Source organism: Homo sapiens, chromosome 4 (assembly GCF_000001405.40).
Source record: "Homo sapiens chromosome 4, GRCh38.p14 Primary Assembly".
NCBI lineage: Eukaryota > Metazoa > Chordata > Mammalia > Primates > Hominidae > Homo > Homo sapiens.
The window spans coordinates 184,314,590-184,333,277 of NC_000004.12; the positions used below are offsets into that span (position 1 = coordinate 184,314,590).

The 18,688-nt window shown below is 44.9% G+C and overlaps 4 annotated features.

Annotated features, from left to right (window-relative positions):
• Positions 51-210: an enhancer, noted in NCBI's record as "active region_22208". NCBI's record gives its function as "activates an Ori minimal core promoter by ATAC-STARR-seq in GM12878 lymphoblastoid cells {active_cell/tissue: GM12878}" and the evidence as "EXISTENCE:reporter gene assay evidence [ECO:0000049][PMID:35858748]".
• Positions 2,893-3,392: an enhancer, noted in NCBI's record as "H3K4me1 hESC enhancer chr4:185238635-185239134 (GRCh37/hg19 assembly coordinates)". NCBI's record gives its function as "activates a minimal SCP1, AML or CMV promoter by ChIP-STARR-seq in primed H9 embryonic stem cells {active_cell/tissue: H9 hESC(primed)}" and the evidence as "EXISTENCE:reporter gene assay evidence [ECO:0000049][PMID:30033119]".
• Positions 4,780-5,079: an enhancer, noted in NCBI's record as "active region_22209". NCBI's record gives its function as "activates an Ori minimal core promoter by ATAC-STARR-seq in GM12878 lymphoblastoid cells {active_cell/tissue: GM12878}" and the evidence as "EXISTENCE:reporter gene assay evidence [ECO:0000049][PMID:35858748]".
• Positions 13,416-13,975: an enhancer, noted in NCBI's record as "active region_22210". NCBI's record gives its function as "activates an Ori minimal core promoter by ATAC-STARR-seq in GM12878 lymphoblastoid cells {active_cell/tissue: GM12878}" and the evidence as "EXISTENCE:reporter gene assay evidence [ECO:0000049][PMID:35858748]".

An 18,688-nucleotide genomic window follows, 5' to 3' on the forward strand; every position in this document is an offset into this window, starting at 1 on the left:
TTGCAGAAGCTGCTGAAGTGTTGGCCCTGCCCACCTCCCAGGACACCTGTGGGAATGCGGGAATTCCACAAATTATGGATTCTAAGCCCCAGGAGATTTAAAAGGAAGGGAGAGGGAGAGAATGAGAATCGATGCTCTATTATTTGATGAGTTTGTAGGCGAGTGTGTGAGAGCAGAATGTTGAGACAAGACTTTCAACTTCGATGTAAGGAATATCTATTAAGCCCCTGCTGTGTGCCGGGGCTGTGTGTGATGCCTAAAGAACAATTGGCAACAGCCTCTCAAGGTGTGTGTGTGTGTGTGTGTGTGTGTGTGTGTGTGTGTGTGTGTGTTAGCGGCAGGTATATATCACAAGTTCAAAAGGGAGTGTCATAATTGTATTAAAGAGAAAAAACTACCACTGCTGGATTTAGAGTTATGAGATCTGGGTTTGAGTCCTGGTTCTACTTATCAGCTGCTTCCTTGAGTGTCCTCTCTATAGAATAGGGATCATAGCTCTTCCGAACATCACAGGGTTTGGGAAGGTAGAAAAAAGAAAAGGGATGCAAAAACACGTGGGGAAAAGGAACGTGGTTCCACAGCAAGAGTGGGCCCTCGTGTAAACTATGAGCTTTGGGTGATAATGGTGCATCAACATAGGCTCCTCACTTGTAAGGGTCAGACCCCTCCGGTGCCAGATATCGACAGCGGGGAGGCTGTGTGTGTGGGAGCAGCGAGGAACTCCCCGGACTTTCTGCTCAATTTTGCTCCAAACAAAAAATGGCTCTTAAAAAAGAAGTAAATTCAAAAGAAAAAAGATATAAAAATACATAATCCATTTGAAAAAATTACAATCATTAAAAAAGAAAAAAAGGAAAATGGAAAACTACTATAGACATGGTTTGAGTTGATATAAAGCTTTGATAGAAAGGCACAAAGAAAATGGCCTAAGAGTTGAAAGCCCAGTGAAATCACAGCTCACGAGGGGTACTTGAGAGAAACTAGGGGAGAAAGTTTTAAGACACAGTCTCCAGCAGAATGGGCTGTCATGAACCCATGGAGTAAGAATTGGGGTTAGGTCGGGAGGAGAACAGCTGCCTTTTCATATCATCCATCCCTCTGTCAGTCACCCTAGGCAAGAAGCCATCCAGAGAGACTCCGAGGCCAGGGACTGAGTGTGCTCGCACACCTTGCCCTGAACCTGCACTTGTGTCCCTATTTCTGCCTGTGCCGCCATAACAGATACCACAGCAGGGTGGCTTAAACAACACCGGTGCATTCCCTCTCGACTCCGGAGGCTGGAAGTCTAAAATCAAGGTGTGAGCTGGACGGTGCTCCCTCCAAAGCCCTGAAGGGAGGACCCTTTCTCGCCTCCTCCAGTGTGTAGTAGCCCCAGGAGGTCCTTGGCTGTTAGCAGCATTGCCCTCATCTGTCTCACATCTTCTTCCCTCTGTGTCTGTCTCCACATGGCCTTCTTCTCCCTGTGAGCACCTGTGTCCAAATTTCCTCCTCCTCCTCCTCCTCCTCCTTCTTCTTCTTCTTCTCCTTCTTGTTTCTCTTCCTCCTTTTCCTCTTCCTCTTCTTCTTCCTTTTTCTTCTTCCTTTCTCCATTTCCTTCCCTTTCCCCTTCCCCTTCCCCTCCTTCTCCTTCTCCTTCCCCTTCCCCTTCCCCTCCTTCTCCTTCTCCTTCTCCTTCTTCTTCTTCTCCTTCTTCTTGTTCATCTTCTTGTTTTTAGAGTGGGGTTCTCACTCTGTGGCCCAGGCTGAAGTGCAATGGCACAATCATAGCTCACTGCAGCCTCAAACCCCTGGGCTCCAGCAATCCTCCTGCTTCAGCCTCCTGAGTAGCTGGGACCACAGGCATAAGCCAGCCACCATACCCTGGTAATTAAAAAAAAATTTTTTTTAATTGTAAAGATGCAGTCTCACTATGTTGCCTAAGCTGGTCTCAAACTCCTGACCTCAAGCAAACTTCCTGTCTTGGCCTCCCAAAATGTTAGGACTACAGGCGTGAGCCATCATGCCTAGCCAAATTTCCCTTTTCTTACAAGGACAATAGTCTTTTGGATGAAGGCCCACCTTAATGACCTCATCTTAATTTGGTTACATCTGTAAAGACTCAATTTCCAAATAGGCCACATCCATAGGTACTTCAACCTATCTTTTAGGGGGATAAAATTCAACCCATAACAGTGGACTAGAGTAGTTCATCCCCTCACCTTGTCCCTGAGTGCCAGGCAGAGAGGAAAACCCTGGTTTAGAATTCTGAGACCTGCATTTGTATCTGAGTCTTACTAGCTGCATGACCTCGGACAAGTTACCCAAACAGTGAGCCCCAGATTCCACATCTATAACAGAGATCGTAATGCCTACAACACCTTCTCCCCACCGTTGATGTGAAGATTCCATGAGACGGTGTTAGTGGATCACTTTGTAAACGCTAAAACTCCAGGCAAACATCTATTGTCATTTCTTCAAACGAAGGGCCCGGCTTCAACCACGTGTGTCTACAAAAAAAGGGGGCAAGTTTCCATCAATACTCTAATTACAACCAATTGCATGCATTTCCCGTCTGCCCACATGGGAAGTTAAACCCCTCAAAGCACCTTTCTATTATTTCTGGGGGTTCCCCTGGGCTGTGTCACACGTGTTCTGGAATAGGTTCCCACGTACCTGAGCGTCTGCTCTTCTTCCCCGCTCCTGAGCGACCAGGACTGCCTTCCCAGCTGTTGGCACTCCCAAGATGACCACTGTTCTGGTGCCACTGAGTCCCCTGACTTAGGCCTTGCAGAAGGAGCACGCGCTCCCCACCTTCTCCTCTGCTCCACCTCATTCCTCTCCGCACCCAGCTTAAGCTGGGCTATAACCTTTAACCAGGCATTGTTTGAAGTGTCAGCAGAAGGGACGCTCAAAACAGGGGGACTTGGGGCTGCTACTGCTGCCGCTCAGTCAGGCCCCCCGAGCTTGCCTCCCTGGAGCAGGGCCTGCCCCACCAGGGTGCTGTGAGCACACCTGCCCCCGACCATGCAGGGCAGCCCTCCAGAGACTCGGTGAGAGAAGGAGCTCCTCCACCCATGGGAGGCAAACTCTGCCTCCCTGTTCCTCAGTTCCTGTCCTAGGACAGGCCACTTTCCAGAAGGACCGGCAGTGGGAATTCCCACTCCATTCGGGGAAGTCCCCATCCCTTACCCAGAGGCCTGCAGCATTGCTTCCTGACCCCAAGCCACAGGATTCCACTTGCACATAATAGTCCAGAGGCTGCAAATCAGGCACACAGACCTGTTTCATTTGGGTCATGCAGTTTAAAAAATATATATGAATTGTTATCAATATTCCCATTGAGATAGTTTACACTTAAAATATCACAATTTGGCCAGGCGCAGTGACTCACTCCTGTAATCCCAGCACTTTGGGAGGCCGAGACGGGTGGATCGCAAGGACAGGAGATCGAGACCATCCTGGCTAACACAGTGAAACCCCGTCTCTACTAAAAATACAAAAAATTAGCTGAGCGTGGTGGCGGGCGCCTGTAGTCCCAGCTACTCGGGAGGCTGAGGCAGGAGAATGGCGTGAACCCGGGAGGCAGAGCTTGCAGTGAGCCAAGATCATGCCACTGCACTCCAGCCTGGGCGACAGAGTGAGACTCTGCCTCAATAAAAAAGTAAAAATTTCTGTCTTCTCTTGAAAACAACATTTAGCCTCTGGATTTGCATGTCAGTCACCAGCTCAAGCTCTGTAGCAGCTCGCTATAGTTGGAATGTGTGTCCCTCCACATCTCAGGTTGAAATGTGATCCCCGGTGTTGAAGGTGGGGCCTGGTGGGAGGTGTTTGGGTCATGGGGGTCCCGTGGGGGTCCCATGGGGGTCATGGGGATCCCTCATGAATGGCTTGGTGCCCTCCTCATGGTAATGAATGCATTCTTGCTCCATTAGTTCCCAAGAGAGCTGGTTGTTAAAATGACCCTGGCGCCTCCCCACACGCTTGCTTGCTCTTGCCATGCCATCTCTGCCATCTCTGCTCACACGGCTCCCCTCCACTTTCCACCCTGAGTGGAAGCAGAGCAAGGCCCTCACTAGAAGCAGAGGCCTGATCATGAACTTTCCAACCATCAGAATCGTGAGCCAAATAAACCATTTTATATATATATATATATATATAAAAATTGCCCAGCCTCAGGTATTCCTTTACAGTAACACAAAATGGCTTAAGACACAGCTCCTTCCTCTAAATGGAGCCCATGTTTTCCTATTTGCCAGATGCCCATGGTCTCTTTTAGTCCTGTGTATCGCCTTCCCAGCCCCTGCAGCCATCTGAATTGGTGGGACCATGCTCCTACAGTGGGCCTCATAGGTCCACTCCACAGAGCGCTGGGCCAGAGCTCGTTCTGGTGCCATTCTCTCCTCCAGCTTGGTGCAGCGATTCTGTCTCTGTGTCCTTCCTGCACAATGCTGTCGTGAGCTTTCCAGCTCCTAGAAACACCTGCACAAAGAAGAATACAGCCTCACAGCAAGAAGAACCGGCAGGTTAAGTGCAGGCTGCACGGCAGGTTGCAGCAGAACTCACCCTCAATCCATGTGGGGCCGGGAATCATTCCTTCCCACTTTGTGCCACCTTCTATCAGCACCATAAAAAAACTGGTGGAGACAGGGTCCTTGCACAACAAGCAAGTTCAATTGCCATCTAGTTAATGGTAAGGACCCAGTCAAGCAGGAACAGTCTGCCCCAAAGGTAAATTTCAGTTTAATCTCTTTTAGGAAGCCCCTGGTTGCAATTTTTAAGGAGTCAATTTTCTAGAAATTTTTCCATAAAATTATTTTTTTAACCTTATAATTTGGGCACCTATTAACATCATGTCGCTGGTGTTTCGATAGACCCAAGGTGGAACATGATAACAGATAGAAACCAAAACTTTACAGGCAGATAGTCATAAACGAAATGATGGTGGGAGGGCTGGGGAATTTCCATAGCACTAGAACCTCTGACACACTGTGGGCATAAAAGAGACCATGAAAGAAGTCACACATATTGAATTTCTCTTTGCATAGAGGCACAAATGCATCTCTCTTGTTTGACCTTGAAATATTAAAAGAACCACAAAAAGGTATCTGCTTTGGGAAATCCCTCATGCCCCAGTACTGAGAAGGGCAGGTGGACTCAGTCACAGGGCTGTGTCCCTTTAGGTCTATTGACCTCAGCAGGGTTGTAGGGAGAGGTGCCTCTCCCTCATTTTTTTTTCTAATATCCTCCCCTCATTGCTTCCTCACTCAGCCTACCTCCCCAGTTACACAGCCAATGCAACCTTGGCCCATTTAACCAAAATGTTGCCAATGTTATGGGACAGCAAATGAACACAGAGAATTCCGAATTTTCTGCCCTAGAAGATACAGCTTTTGGCCAGGTGTGGTGGCTCACACCTGTAATCCCAGCACTTCGGGGGGCCGAGGTGGGCAGATCACCTGAGGTCAGGAGTTCGACACCAGCCTGGGCAACATGGTGAAACCCTGTCTCTACTAAAAATACAAAAACTAGCTGGGCGTGGTGGCACGTGCCTGTAGTCCCAGCTACTCGGGAGGCTGAGGCAGGAGCACAGCTTTTCCGTCTTCTGTGTAGGTTCCCCACATTTCCTCCAAGATCCTGGGGCCATACTTAACTCCTACCACCTAGAATCCTTTTCATTCCTGTCCCATTTGGGAGTTCTGGTCCTCATTCCTGTCTGAGGACATGTCATCTGATATAATTCCTAGCAGGAAAGTCCATCCATGTCAAAGACCACACATGCACATATGGACCTAGGCCTTAATATTCAGCCTACAACAAGATGGTCAACTCTAGCAACAAAGCCCAGCTATTTGCAGCGAGAACACACACCTCCAACAATGTCAGACCTGACCCATGCACTAAAAAGGATAAATTCTGCCCAGGTGGATGGGCTAGTCTAAGCTTTCTCGTAAATGGGGGCCTGACGTGGCTACTGGCTTCCTAACATCTGAAGCACTTTTATCAGCTAATTCAACTAAACTTTGCAAAGCTCCTCTTAAAGCCATACTCCCTGGTGTCAATGGACTATTCAGAGAAGAAAACAGTAGCGTTTATGGGGTGAGGACTTGGGTTCAAGTTCTTCTCTGCAACTTAAATTCTCTACAGCTCACTTCCCTCTCTTGTCTGATCCATTAATACCTAGTCCTATAAATAGTCCTATAAATTTGCACACAAACTTAGTTATTAACCAGCACCGAGGCTGCATGGGGTTTCGTAAGATGACTTACAGTGATTACTTACACGTGAGTTGAGCATAAACATCCGCCTGGAACATTCAGTCCGCGCCTCTGCAGCACGGCTGTCAACTCTAATAAATGTTTCCAGCATTAAAAAGCTTGTTTCTTATGGTGTCAAGAGAATAAAGCCAATTGGTGGTGAATCAGAAATATCTAGGGGGAGGTCTTTTGGAGAATCATGAATAAATATGACAAAAAGAAATCCATTTTAATTTGTATTAATTACTGAATAATTTCCTGTAGCATAATTGTTAAATTATTAATGAATACCATGAATTGTTTATTTTATTATGAAATAATTCTTTTTAATATACTTATTAATCTATCAGTGATAATTATTAATTAACTTACCATATGGATTAATTAATGCATAATGATGAAGTAGGTTGAGAAGGGCTGTAGCAAAAGATGGAACAAAACCAGGGGGATAAGCAAGAAAAGAACTCTGCTATGTCATGGGGCTTCCAGAAAATCAGATGAAAACATTCTGCAACTGGAAAAGTACATGTTCTCTTCTGTAATATGTCCTCTGCATAAATGTTTTAAAACTTCAAGTCGCCTTACCTGATCTTTTGTTTTTTTTTTTTTTTGAGACAGAGTCTCACTCTGTCGCCCAGACTGGAGTGCAGTGGCACTATCTCAGCTCACTACAACCTCCACCTCCAAGGTTCAAGCGATTCTCCTGCCTCAGCCTCCCATAGTCAGCTGGGATTACAGGCATCTGCCACCACACTTGGCTAATTTTTGTATTTTTAGAAGATACAGGGTTTTGCCACGTTGGCTAGGCTGGTCTCAAACTCCTGACCTCAGGTGAGACACCCACCATGGCCTCCCAAAGTGCTGGGACTGCAGGCATGAGCCACCGCACCTGGCTGTCCTACCTGATTTTTAAGGAGTAAGTAATCATTTGTGTAGATTTTAGTTTTTTGTTTGTTTGTTTTTATTTTTTTTAAAAAGTATAACATTTGGCCAGGTGCGGTGGCTCATGCCTGTAATCCCAGCACTTTGGGAAGCCGAGGTGGGTGGATCACAAGGTCAAGAGACCAAGACCATCCTGGCCAATATGGTGAAACCCTGTCACTACTAAAAATACAAAAATTAGCTGGGCGTGGTGGTGCACACCTGTAGCCCCAGCTACTTGGGAGGCTGAGGCAGGAGAATCATTTGAACCCGAGAGGCGGAGGTTGCAGTGAGCCGAGATCATGCCATTGCACTCCAGCCTGGTGACAGAGCGAGACAGCGTCTAAAAAAAAATTATATATATATATATATATATATATACACACACACACACACACACACATAATATTTAATATGTCAACAAGATTTTTAGATTTTTTTCTTTCTTTTAACTTTTATTTTAGGTTCAGGGGTGCATATGCAGGTTTGTTATGTAGGTAACTTACGTGTCATGGGAGTTTGGTGTACAGATTATTCCACAGCCCAGGTCATAAGAATAGTACCTGACAGGTAGTTTTTCGATCCTCACCCTCCTCTCTCCCTCCACCCTCCAGAAGGCCCTGGTGTCTGCTGTTCTCTTCTTTGAGTCCTTGTGTACTCAATGTTTATCTCCCACTTATAAGGGAGAATATGTGGTGTCTGGTTTTGTTTCTGTGTTAGTTGGTTCACGTAGGATAATGGTCTCCAGCTTCATCCATGTTGCTGCAAAGGACATAATCTCTTTCTTTTTTATGGCTGTATAGTGCTCCATGGTGTGTATGTATCACATTTTAGATTTCTTATTTTAAAAAAATTCAATGCCCCCAAAATGTAATCACCTACAAACATTTCACCAGGTGAAAACTTTCTCATCCCACAAACTTTAGGCCATGGACAGTATGCTTTTCCAGAATCTAGGGAAAAGTTAAAGCCCTGGGCACAAGGTAAATTCACTTAGAATTTCAGGGTAGATACTGATTTTTATTAGGCTCTTGTGCCACTCACAGAAATGCCACATGCTCTTAGTCATCAGCCTCACACTAATACCTGTATACCACATCCTATTCAACAGAAAGGAATATCCACTTTAACACCCATCAGGAAAAAAAAAATGCTCTTTTTAAAATAAATCACTGACAATTTTCTCAAATAAAATGTCGGATCAAAAAATAAATGCAGGCCAGTCATGGCAGCTCATGCCTGTAATCCCAGCACTTTGGGAGGCCAAGACAGGTGAGTCACAAGGTCAGGAGTTCAAGACCAGCCTGGCCAACATGGTGAAACCCCGTCTCTACTAAAAACACAAAAATTAGCCAGGTGTGGTGGTAGGTGCCTGTAATCCCAGCTACTTGGGAGGCTGAGGCAAGAGAATCGCTTGAACCCGGGAGGTGGAGGTTGCAGTGAGCTGAGATCATGCCACTGCACTCCAGCCTGGGCAATAGAGCGAGACTCTGTCTAACCAAAAAAAAAAAAAAAGAAAGAAAGAAATGCATAAACAAATGTATCCCTACAATGGGATATTATTCAGCCATAAAAAGGAATGAAGGGCTGGGCGCAGTGGCTCACACCTGTAATCCCAGCACTTTGGGAGCCCGAGGTGGGAGGATCCTGAGGTCAAGAGATTGAGACTATCCTGGCCAACATGGTGAAACCCCACCTCTACTAAAAATACAAAATTTAGCTGGGCGTGGTGGCACGCACCTGTAGTCCCAGCTACTCAGGAGGCTGAGGCAGGAGAATCGCTTGAACCCAGGAGGCCGAGGTTGCAGTGAGCCGAGATAGCATCACTGCACTCCAGCTTGGTGACAGAGCAAGACTCCATCTCAAAAAACAAAAAACAAACAAGCAAAAAAAGGAATGAAGTTCTGACACAGGCTACGACATGGATGAACATTGATTGGAAACATGCTGCTAAGCGAAAGAAGCCAGACCCAAAAAAGAAACACTGAATGATTCTGCTCATACAAGGAACCTAGAATTGGCAACTTCATAGAGGCAGAAGGTTGAAGAGACGTTACCAGGGACTGAGGGGAGAGAGAGCTGCTGTTTACTGGATATGGAGCTTCTGTTTGGGATGATGAAAATAATGAAAACATTTTTGGAAATAGATGGTGGCAATGGTTGCACAGCATTGTGAATGTAATCAATGCCAGTGTACCGGCCTCCTAAAAGTGGTTCAAATGGCAAATTTTATGTCTATTTCATCACAATAAAAAGTACAAATATGAAAATAAATGACGACTTGGAACACCTTGAGCCATAGAGTTCCGCCTGGGGGTCTTTGGCTGAAAGGACAGACTAGACTGTGTTCCCACGGCTTTTCCATCCCAGAGCACTCACAAGCCCATCTCCTCCATCTCCACGGCCCCTCCCCCCCATTCTGCTGGCCTGACGGCTCTGCTTCCGATCTCAGCCCCACCAGGAAAAGCTTCCAGAATCACAGAAACACATTCTGGGAAATTAGTTTTCTTAAAGCCTTTGCTTTTGGTTTTAATAAAAAAAAATTAAATATCTTGAAAGCAAAACTGCCATCTAAAGCAGGCTAAAATATAACTGCAACTTTAGGAAAACTTAATTATACATGCTATCAATGTACTGGCCCATGATCAATCTATCTACATTTCCCTTTTCTCTCATTTCAGAAAGTAAGAATAAAGTGGCTTTGCTTAAATATAAAAACCTAATCTCTCTTCTCTTCTCTTCCACTTCCTTGTATTAGATTGTCTTCCAGAACTAACCAAGAGGTCCCTAAAGCTGGCTCCAGAGACAGGATCCTTTGAGAATGTCTCTACTCTTTAAAAACACCCACTCACACCTGTAATCCCAGCACTTTGGGAGGCCGAGGTGGGCAGATCATGAAATCAGGAGATCGAGACCATCCTGGCTAACATGGCGAAACCCTGTCTCTACTAAAAATACAAAAAAAAAATTAGCTGGGCTTGGTGGCGGGTGCTTGTAGTCCCATCTACTCGGGAGGCTGAGGCAGGAGAATGGCGTGAACCTGGAAAGCGGAGCTTGCAGTGAGCCGAGATCGCACCACTGCACTCCAGCCTGGGCAACAAAGCGAGACTCCGCTCAAAAACAAAACAAAACAAAACAAATGAAAAAACACCCACATCAGGTTGGCCTTTTAAGTTTCCAGAGACAGAAAATCCCTTAGAAATTTTATCTGTAAACAAAGACCTGAAATTGGTGATTACACATTTCACGTAAGATGGGGAGGGGGGGCTTTTGCTCCAGGTTAACATGCATGGCTTGAACTTGACTCAAGGTCACCAACTAACCTACGTTGAGAAGAACCTTAATGTGATAAAAAGAAGTGAGTGTGAAATTTCCTACCAGAAAATGCTGATGGTTAATTTTCTGTCCACTTGGCTGGGCCAGTGTGCCGATATGTGGCTTAACATGAATCTGGACGTTTCTGTGAGGGTCTTTTGGATGAGATTAACCTTTAAAATGAGGGACTTGGAGCAAAGCAGATTGCCCTTCCCCATGTGGTGGGCCCCATCTAATCAGCTGAAGGTGTGAAAGGAAAATATCCTGGGCCGTCAAAATCACTAAGCTAAAGGAAAATTCAAGCTGGGAACTGCTTAGGGCAAACCTCCCTCCCATTCTATTCAAAGTCATCCCTCTGCTCACTGAGATAAATGCAGATCTGATTGCTTCCTTTGGAAAGGCTAATCCGAAACTCAAAAGAATGGAACCGTTTGTCTCACACCTACCTGTGACCTGGAAGCCCCCTGCCTGCTCCGAGTTGTCCCGCCTTTCCGAATTGAACCAATAGTCATTTTACATATGTTGATTGATGTCTCATGTCCCCTAAAAATGTACAAAAGCAAGGTGTGCTCTGACCACCTTGGGCACATGTCATCAGGACCTCCTGAGGCTGTGTCATGGGCATGCGTTCTCAACCTTGGCAAAATAAACTTTCTTTCTTTTCTTCTTTTTTTTTTTTTTGAGATGGAGTCTTGCTCTGTTGCCCAGGCTGGAGTGCAGTGGCACGATCTTGGCTCACTGCAACCTCTGCCTCCCAGGTTCAAGTGATTCTCCTGTTTCAGCCTCCTGAGTAGCTGGGATTACCAGCACCTGCCACCATGCCTGATTAATTTTTGTAGCAAAATAAACTTTCTAAATTAACTTAGACCTGTCTCAAATGTTGGGGGTTCACAAAGGCCTGTATAGAACAAAAGACTGACCTTCTCCCGAGCAAGAGGGACTTTGGTAGCAGACAGTCTTCAGACTTGACTGCAGGATTGGCTCCTCTCTGAGTCTTCAGCCTGCTGGTTCACCCTGCAGACGTTGGACTTGCCAGCCTCCATAATCACATGAGCCAATTCCTTAAAATAAATCTCTCTATATACCTAAATACACATTCTATTGGTTCGGTTTCTCTTGAAGACGCTGACTAATACAAAGATCTAGGAACAAATCCTGAGTCCCCTGCGACATATTTGCAGAATGATTTCAGTAAACCAATTAATCTCTCTGAGGGTAAATGTCTTCATCTGTGAAATGGAGATTTTTATATTAACTGAAAGTGTTCTGGGGGTAATGTACATAAAGCACATGAGATATCATGGGTGCTAAATAAACAGTAGCTTTTAAGAGGGAATGCCACAGACACAAAACTAAAGAAACCACTTCTCTTCTCCTTAAGTAGCTTATAGCCTTGGAAAAGAGCTAAATAACAATGGAAGTAATGTGTACTAAAACAAAAAAGTAGGGCTTCAGATTCATGCATCTTGGGTATAATGGGAAATAGAATGTGCCACCCCCAAATATGCCACTTTGGCGTAAGAATTGTTTTGAGCTGAAGGCAATTCGCTGTCTGCCATCCCCTATTCTGTCTAAAAACAGGACATAAATTTCCATTTGTAAGGGTGTCTCCCTTTCCCATACCAGGAAGAGAAATACTCCAGAGACAACTTTTAGCACCTGAGGCGACTCTTATCTGCCTAACAAACGTTATTAAACAACACTTGTTTATTATACATTTTCTCCCTTCACCTTCCCATAACTTACCTCCCATCTCAGAAGCCCAAAATCCCCTTTCCTTTGTCCAGCCTAAGATGGTTTATATAAGCTCCAAATTCTAAATGCCTCTTCGAATCACATTTCGTTGTGAATTCCTGTGCCAGCATACATAATTGTATCTGTTATTCTCTCTTGGTAGTCTGTCTTGTGTGAATTTAATTCCTGGGGCCCCCAACCACTGAACACAGGAGAGCAGAGAACAAATGTTTTTCCTCCCCTACAAGTATAATTAAAAGTATAGGAGATCTTGCAATTAAGAATTGGCGTCTGAACCAATATTCCCAATCTCTAATCTCAAACCTATTTTTTTCCTCCTGAACTGATGGTATGTTGACCTAGAGATGATAAAGGCAAAGTTATTTAGGAAGGTAACGCTGGCAGCCAGTTGGGTGGAATAGCTGGAAAAGTTCCTTTAAGAGTGAAAGGATAGGCCAGGTGCAGTGGCTCACTCCTGTAATCCCAGCACTTTGGAAGGCCAAGGCAGGCAGATCACCTAAGGTCAGGAGTTTGAGACCAGCCTGGCCAAAGTGGCAAAACCCCGTCTCTACTAAAAATACAAAAATTAGCTAGGTGTGGTAGCACATGCATGTAGTCCCAGTACTCAGGAGGCTGAGGCAGGAGAATTGCTCAAACCCAGGAGGCAGAGGTTGCAGTAAGCCGAGACCATACCACTCCACTCCAGGCTGGGCCACAGAGCAAGACTCTGCCTCAAAAAAAATTAAAATAAAAAAAGAATGAAAGTATCCATAATTACAGGTAGATTATCATCAGTTTTCTATTTTTGCTAGATGTTGAAATTAGGTGTATTGAATAAAATACATGGGACTTAAAGCCTGAGTAGCTTCTTTCAAATCCCAGCTCTGCTGCTTAGCAGCTGCCACTGGAGAAGTGATTATCCTCTGAGCTTCATTTTGTTCATCTGTAAAACCCGGCGACCAGCACATAGGAAGAACACAGCAAATGCTGGTGTCATTGAACATGCAGATAAATGAATGATTAACAGTCAATGAATTGAAAACTGTTTACCAAACCCAGGCTTGGAAGATTCAAAACAGAAACAGTGGTGTTGACAGAGCATTATATTTTAATGGATGACAGTAAATAGAAAAAGGGGGTTGATTCTGGAAAAGCGGAAAGAGCTTCAGAAATACTGGGAAGCTCCTGGCTTTTGGCGCTCCGTCTTGTTGAAATATTTAAGCCTCAACATACTTTCTCAACCTCATTGTTAGTGAAAGAAGGAAGTTCTATTAAAGAGAGCAAGAGAAAGACCATGCCTCAATAGCCAGAGTAAATCTAGTTTCCATCACACTCAGGGTGACCGGTTGGTCAAGGCAAAGCAGCATGGATGCTCCTGATGTCAGGATTTTTCTGTCCTGACCTGAGATGCTTCTGGGTGAACCCATCAGACAAGATGCTTTCTCAGACTCAAGTTCAACCACGTGGACCTCAGAGAACGTATAGCATAGTGTTTGTTGTTCCAGCTAGTACCCAGACAGGAGTCACCTGTGTGCATGTCTTTGCATGCATCGCCATGGGGGTTTTCCCAGCTCTGGTTCTCTAGTTCACTCGAATGAACACAGGAGGGATCACAAAGGCCTGAAGAATGTGTGTTCTTTTCTTCTGTTTTCCTGCACAGGTGCTAGTGTATTAAAAGCAAGAGCAAAGGGGCAGCCTGATGGCTGACGAGCTGATGAACAAGAGCAGCAGGTGTGTCCCCGCTGTTCCTAGAGAACAGTATGGAGAGTGGATCTCTCCATCACCCCCTCAATTCCCAATTACATCCCAGTTGTCCCATCCTCAGTCCTGAGGGGCTTTCTTAGTTGAGTCATAAGGGTAACCTCCAGGATGTCTCCAGAGCTAGGAGGAAGTTGCATAATATCAGTGTTTTTTAAGTACTTTTAGAAAGCAGTGACATTCATTTGACAAAAAAATTTAATGTACAGTGATTTCTTTCACTTACTGCTGTTGACTTTTCATAAAAAGATAATCTAAGGTCCCTTCCCTCTAGGATGTATTTACAACCTCCTTGGGGAGTCAAACATAAAAATTAAATAAGAGCTATGGAAGGATTACACCGATATAATTAATTTTAAAATTAGATTGAGAGCAAAAACATTTATTGAGCATGTACTATGCTCCAGGTACCTGCATAGGCACTTTTATTTATTCCTCTGATTGAACTGTCCTGTAAGGCGTGGGATATTATCTGCATTTTACAAAAGACAGCTCTAGGCTCAGAATGGTTAAGTAATGACAGGGTTCAGGACATGCTACCCCAAACTGTGGTACCTTGACACACTGAATATCTTAAGCTGAAGGAATCTGAGAGATGGCACGTGCAAGAAGCTCCCTCTCACCTTTCCCCTCACCTTGCCTGCTGAATCAGGTCGTAAAACCTAAGAAGGATTTTCTGACCTTCTCCTGAAGCAGGTCATCGTAAGACCCTCCTGTGAGCGGTGCCCTCCCTAGACCCGGAGAAAGGGAACATCCTTATTTCTGAAGACAAAGAAGAAGCTGAACAAACAGGCCTTGCTCAGTTTCCCCCAGTTTATTCCCATCAGACCACACTCTTTCCCCAATCACGTTTCCGCACACCTGGCCACTTCTCGTCAAACCTGTTGTACAAAAGAAGCCAGGCTGAACTGTTTCTCTGGGTCATTTCCTTATGAAGGTTCCCGTGTCAAGTAAAACTTAGATTAACTAAATGTGTATACTTTTCTCTTCTTAATCTGTCTTTTCTTATATGGGCCTCAGCCCTGAACCTGAGATGGGCAAGGAAGATACATTTCCTCCCGTACCGTGACAAAATAAGTGTCTTCTCGTTCAGAGTTTCCGATTCCAAATCCAGGAGTCTTTCCACTACATCAAACCTAATGGTAAATATTCAAGCATGTACAAAAGAAAGATCCCTGTAGTTGAGTGCATCCAGAGAAGCGCCTTGGCTCTCCCAGTAGTACTGCTCTGACCTGAGGAAGAATAAGGCCTTTATAAGCACAACTTGGCTGCATTCCACTGGCATAAATCCCAATCAGACAGTCAACCCCCTTCCGCATCCCCATCCTCTGGCCTTTTGAGAAAAGGGATCTGCCCTCCTAAGGGAATGTTCATTTTGCCACTAACAGGGAGCTCTCTGAAAAACGCTGTTTGCTGTCCAGTCACACCTCTGTGGAATCTTTTAACACATGGCGATTCTGTGGCAGGATACCTGTGTTGGTTTTGTTTTCACAGAGTGGTCACAAAGCTGAGTTCAAGGTGAGAAGTGAAAACAATTAAATGAATGGTAGCTTTTTCCACATGACTTTTCACTGCAGTGACCCAGCCCGGTCAGCCCCCGCGCCCGCTCGGTGGCGTGCACTTCCCATGACACACACACTCGTGGTATCCATGAGTGCGTGTCAGGAAAGCAGAAGTGTCACATGGACAAGCGAGTGTCAACAAGAGATGTGCCTCCTCTACACATCATGTGGTTAATGTCCAAACTCACTCATCCCACAGTCACGTTTGACTCTCAGTTGATCACTCTTTGTTCATGTTGAGATTCAACAGGAAATATTGTTTTTACAGGGTCTGGAATTTTAATGAGTCTAAGGATTCCTGATGGTTGTATTGACTTTATTTGTGGGGTTCTCAAAAGGAATCTCACAGTGTAGTCAACAGCAAGGAGTAAGCATTTTCTTACTTACAAAACCAAAGTTATATGTGTGGTACAAAGATGAGAGACTGGGGCCAGGCGAGGTGGCTCACGCCCATAATCCCAACACTTTGGGAGGCTGAGGCAGGCAGATCACCTGAAGTCAGGAGTTTGAGGCCAGCTTGACCAACATGGTGAAACCTCATCTCTACAAAAAATGCAAAAATTAGCTGGGTGTGGTGGTGCACACCTGTAATCCCTGCTACTCAGGAGGCTGAGGCAGGAGAATCACTTGAACCCAGGAGGTGGAGGCTGCAGTGAGCCAAGATCACACCACTGCACTCTAGCCTGGGTGACAAAGCAAAACTCTGTCTCAAAAAAAAAAAAAAAAAAAAGTGAGACTGGGAGCAGAAAGCAAGCAGTACTCACGCCACACTGCTGGGCAGTGGTGCTTAAAGAAAGCGAAAGAACAAACAAATGAAATACCAGCCTCAATGCAAAAATAAGCTGGAATGGAGGAGGTTTTCCATGCTTTTTGAAAGAGGCTGGGTAGAAATTGTAGTCTTGGGGGTTTTGTTGACAGCAAGAATTTCAGCTTTGCCTTAAGTGTTACTCAGAAGGTGAAATGGATTCAGCCAAACGTTACCATATAAACACAAACAGGCACATTTTGAAAACAGTTCCTGGAGTTCCAGGGAGCTCCCCTTTAATTCATCCCTAGCTCAATGCCGTATAGTTAGTGTTCAACGTCCTTCTAAGAAAAGAACTGAGGCGGTTTATTATTAGTGGTGAAGAACCAATACACAGAAATACAAAGGGTCATAGAAAGACAGTAAGCAACATTTCTGCTACAACAAGAGTCCGTAACCATGCTTTACTCCAGCCTCGGGGCTTCTGAAACCTCCCTAAGCTAAGAAACACAAACACATGTATGTGGGCCCATAATAGATGTAGGTGAGGGCTATAGGTCTCCTCAGCTTCATACCAGGTGGTATGTTACAATGAAAGCAAGTCTCAGACGGAATTCGGCCATAAAATAAACATTTAGAAGCCAGCAGGCTCAAAAACGTGGTACAACCAGTTCTGTAAACTCAACCAAGTACTGGTGCTTTGTTCTGCTGGCACACTGACAGGTGCCTTACATAACAGATTCACTTAAGGCAGATGTGACAGTACTCGAACAGCATGATTTAGCTTCATGTCTAGTCAGGGTCAGGTGCAGGAACCTTTCTATGAGCTGTGGATACAAGTCCTGATTCAAATCCCAAACCAGAGACAGCATTTGGAAGGGCATACATTATCCACTAGGCTTTCTAGGTCATAATACCCTGTTTATGCAAGGAGATGCAATCTGATACAGTGCTTCCAGTCAGCCCATAATATTTTGAACAACTCTTACTTCACCAATGAAAATGACTCCTAAAATCCATTATGCCAGATAGCAAAGCTGTTGGTGTTCATTGAGGATAGAGGAAGTTCTTATAGCTGACTCTCTAGAGCAGGAGCTGCTTCTTCTTTTTTTTTTTTTTTTTTTGAGACCGAGTCCAGCTCTGTCGCCCAGGCTGGAGTGCAGTGATATGATCTCGGCTCACTGCAACCTCCACCTCCCAGGTTCAAGCGATTCTCCTGCCTCAGTCTCCCGAGTAGCTGGGAATACAGGCGTGTGCCACCACACCAAGCTAATTCTTTGTATTTTTAGTAGAGATGGGTTTTCACCATGTTAGCCAGGATGGTCTCGATCTCCTGACCTCCTGATCTGCCTGCCTCGGCCTCCCAAAGGAGGAGCCTCTTAATAGTCTTTCAAATTCCAACAGACCACCCCTGGAGTGTGTATATTCATTCCTGAATAGGGCTCTTCAATATTAACTCGCTGCTCCTGGTTGTCAATTAAAAACCCAGAGATAAATACCACTACCTATGCCAACATTTTTAACCATGAATTGGAACAGTGTAATATTTTTGCTGGGATCTTTGATTGTCTCTTGCCAGAGCCCAGACTGGGGATCCAGGCATACACCTGGGCTCAAGACTTAGGAAAGCCCTCTCTCTTTCCTGGCCTTACAGTCTGGAGTCTTGGTCAGAATCTGCCCATCTTCAAACAGTTATGGCTTTCTCTTCTTACCTGTGCCTTCCATCAACCTTGTGAAGTAGGTGACGGTTACCAGGGTTAGAGTTCAGTTATTTCAAGAGCTTATCAGAGGAATTAAGCAGCAATTTTTTTATTTTTTTGCTTCAAGCTATCAGTTCCAAGGTCAACATGATATCTTGATACTCTTAAATGCTCTGATATTTTTTGATTTGCTGTGAAAGGCACACAATATTAACTCTATTAATGCCAGACAAAATACCGTCATAAATACTACATAGGAAGGGCCCTTGACAAAGACAGTCTCAGTGACCAAACTTTAGAAGGCCCCTCTCAGCCCTCTTTTTAACAGGACTCATCCCTGGACCCAGGCTTCAGCCTGCCTAGTCCAGTTTTAGCAGGGATCCTGCTAAGCCAATTTAGTGAGAGTCCCTCAACCTTGACCTCTGACCACACTGGTCTGCCTTCAGCAAGAATCCTGTTAAAGTCAGTTTAGCAAGAATTCCCCTCCCCTTGATATTTTTCTTGGTAATTACTTCTCTTAATAATTTTCTACCCATCAACCTCCCCAGCCCCCATCTGATACTGACATGGCCTAAAAAACTTGAATATCATACTGCTGGACTGAGTGAGGGTTTTCGAAACTCTAGTTGAGTTCATGAAACTGCTAACCCATGATCAAGCAAAACAAGAATTAATTACATAGGACTGAATCAACTAAAGAAGGAGTATAATTTTTATGGC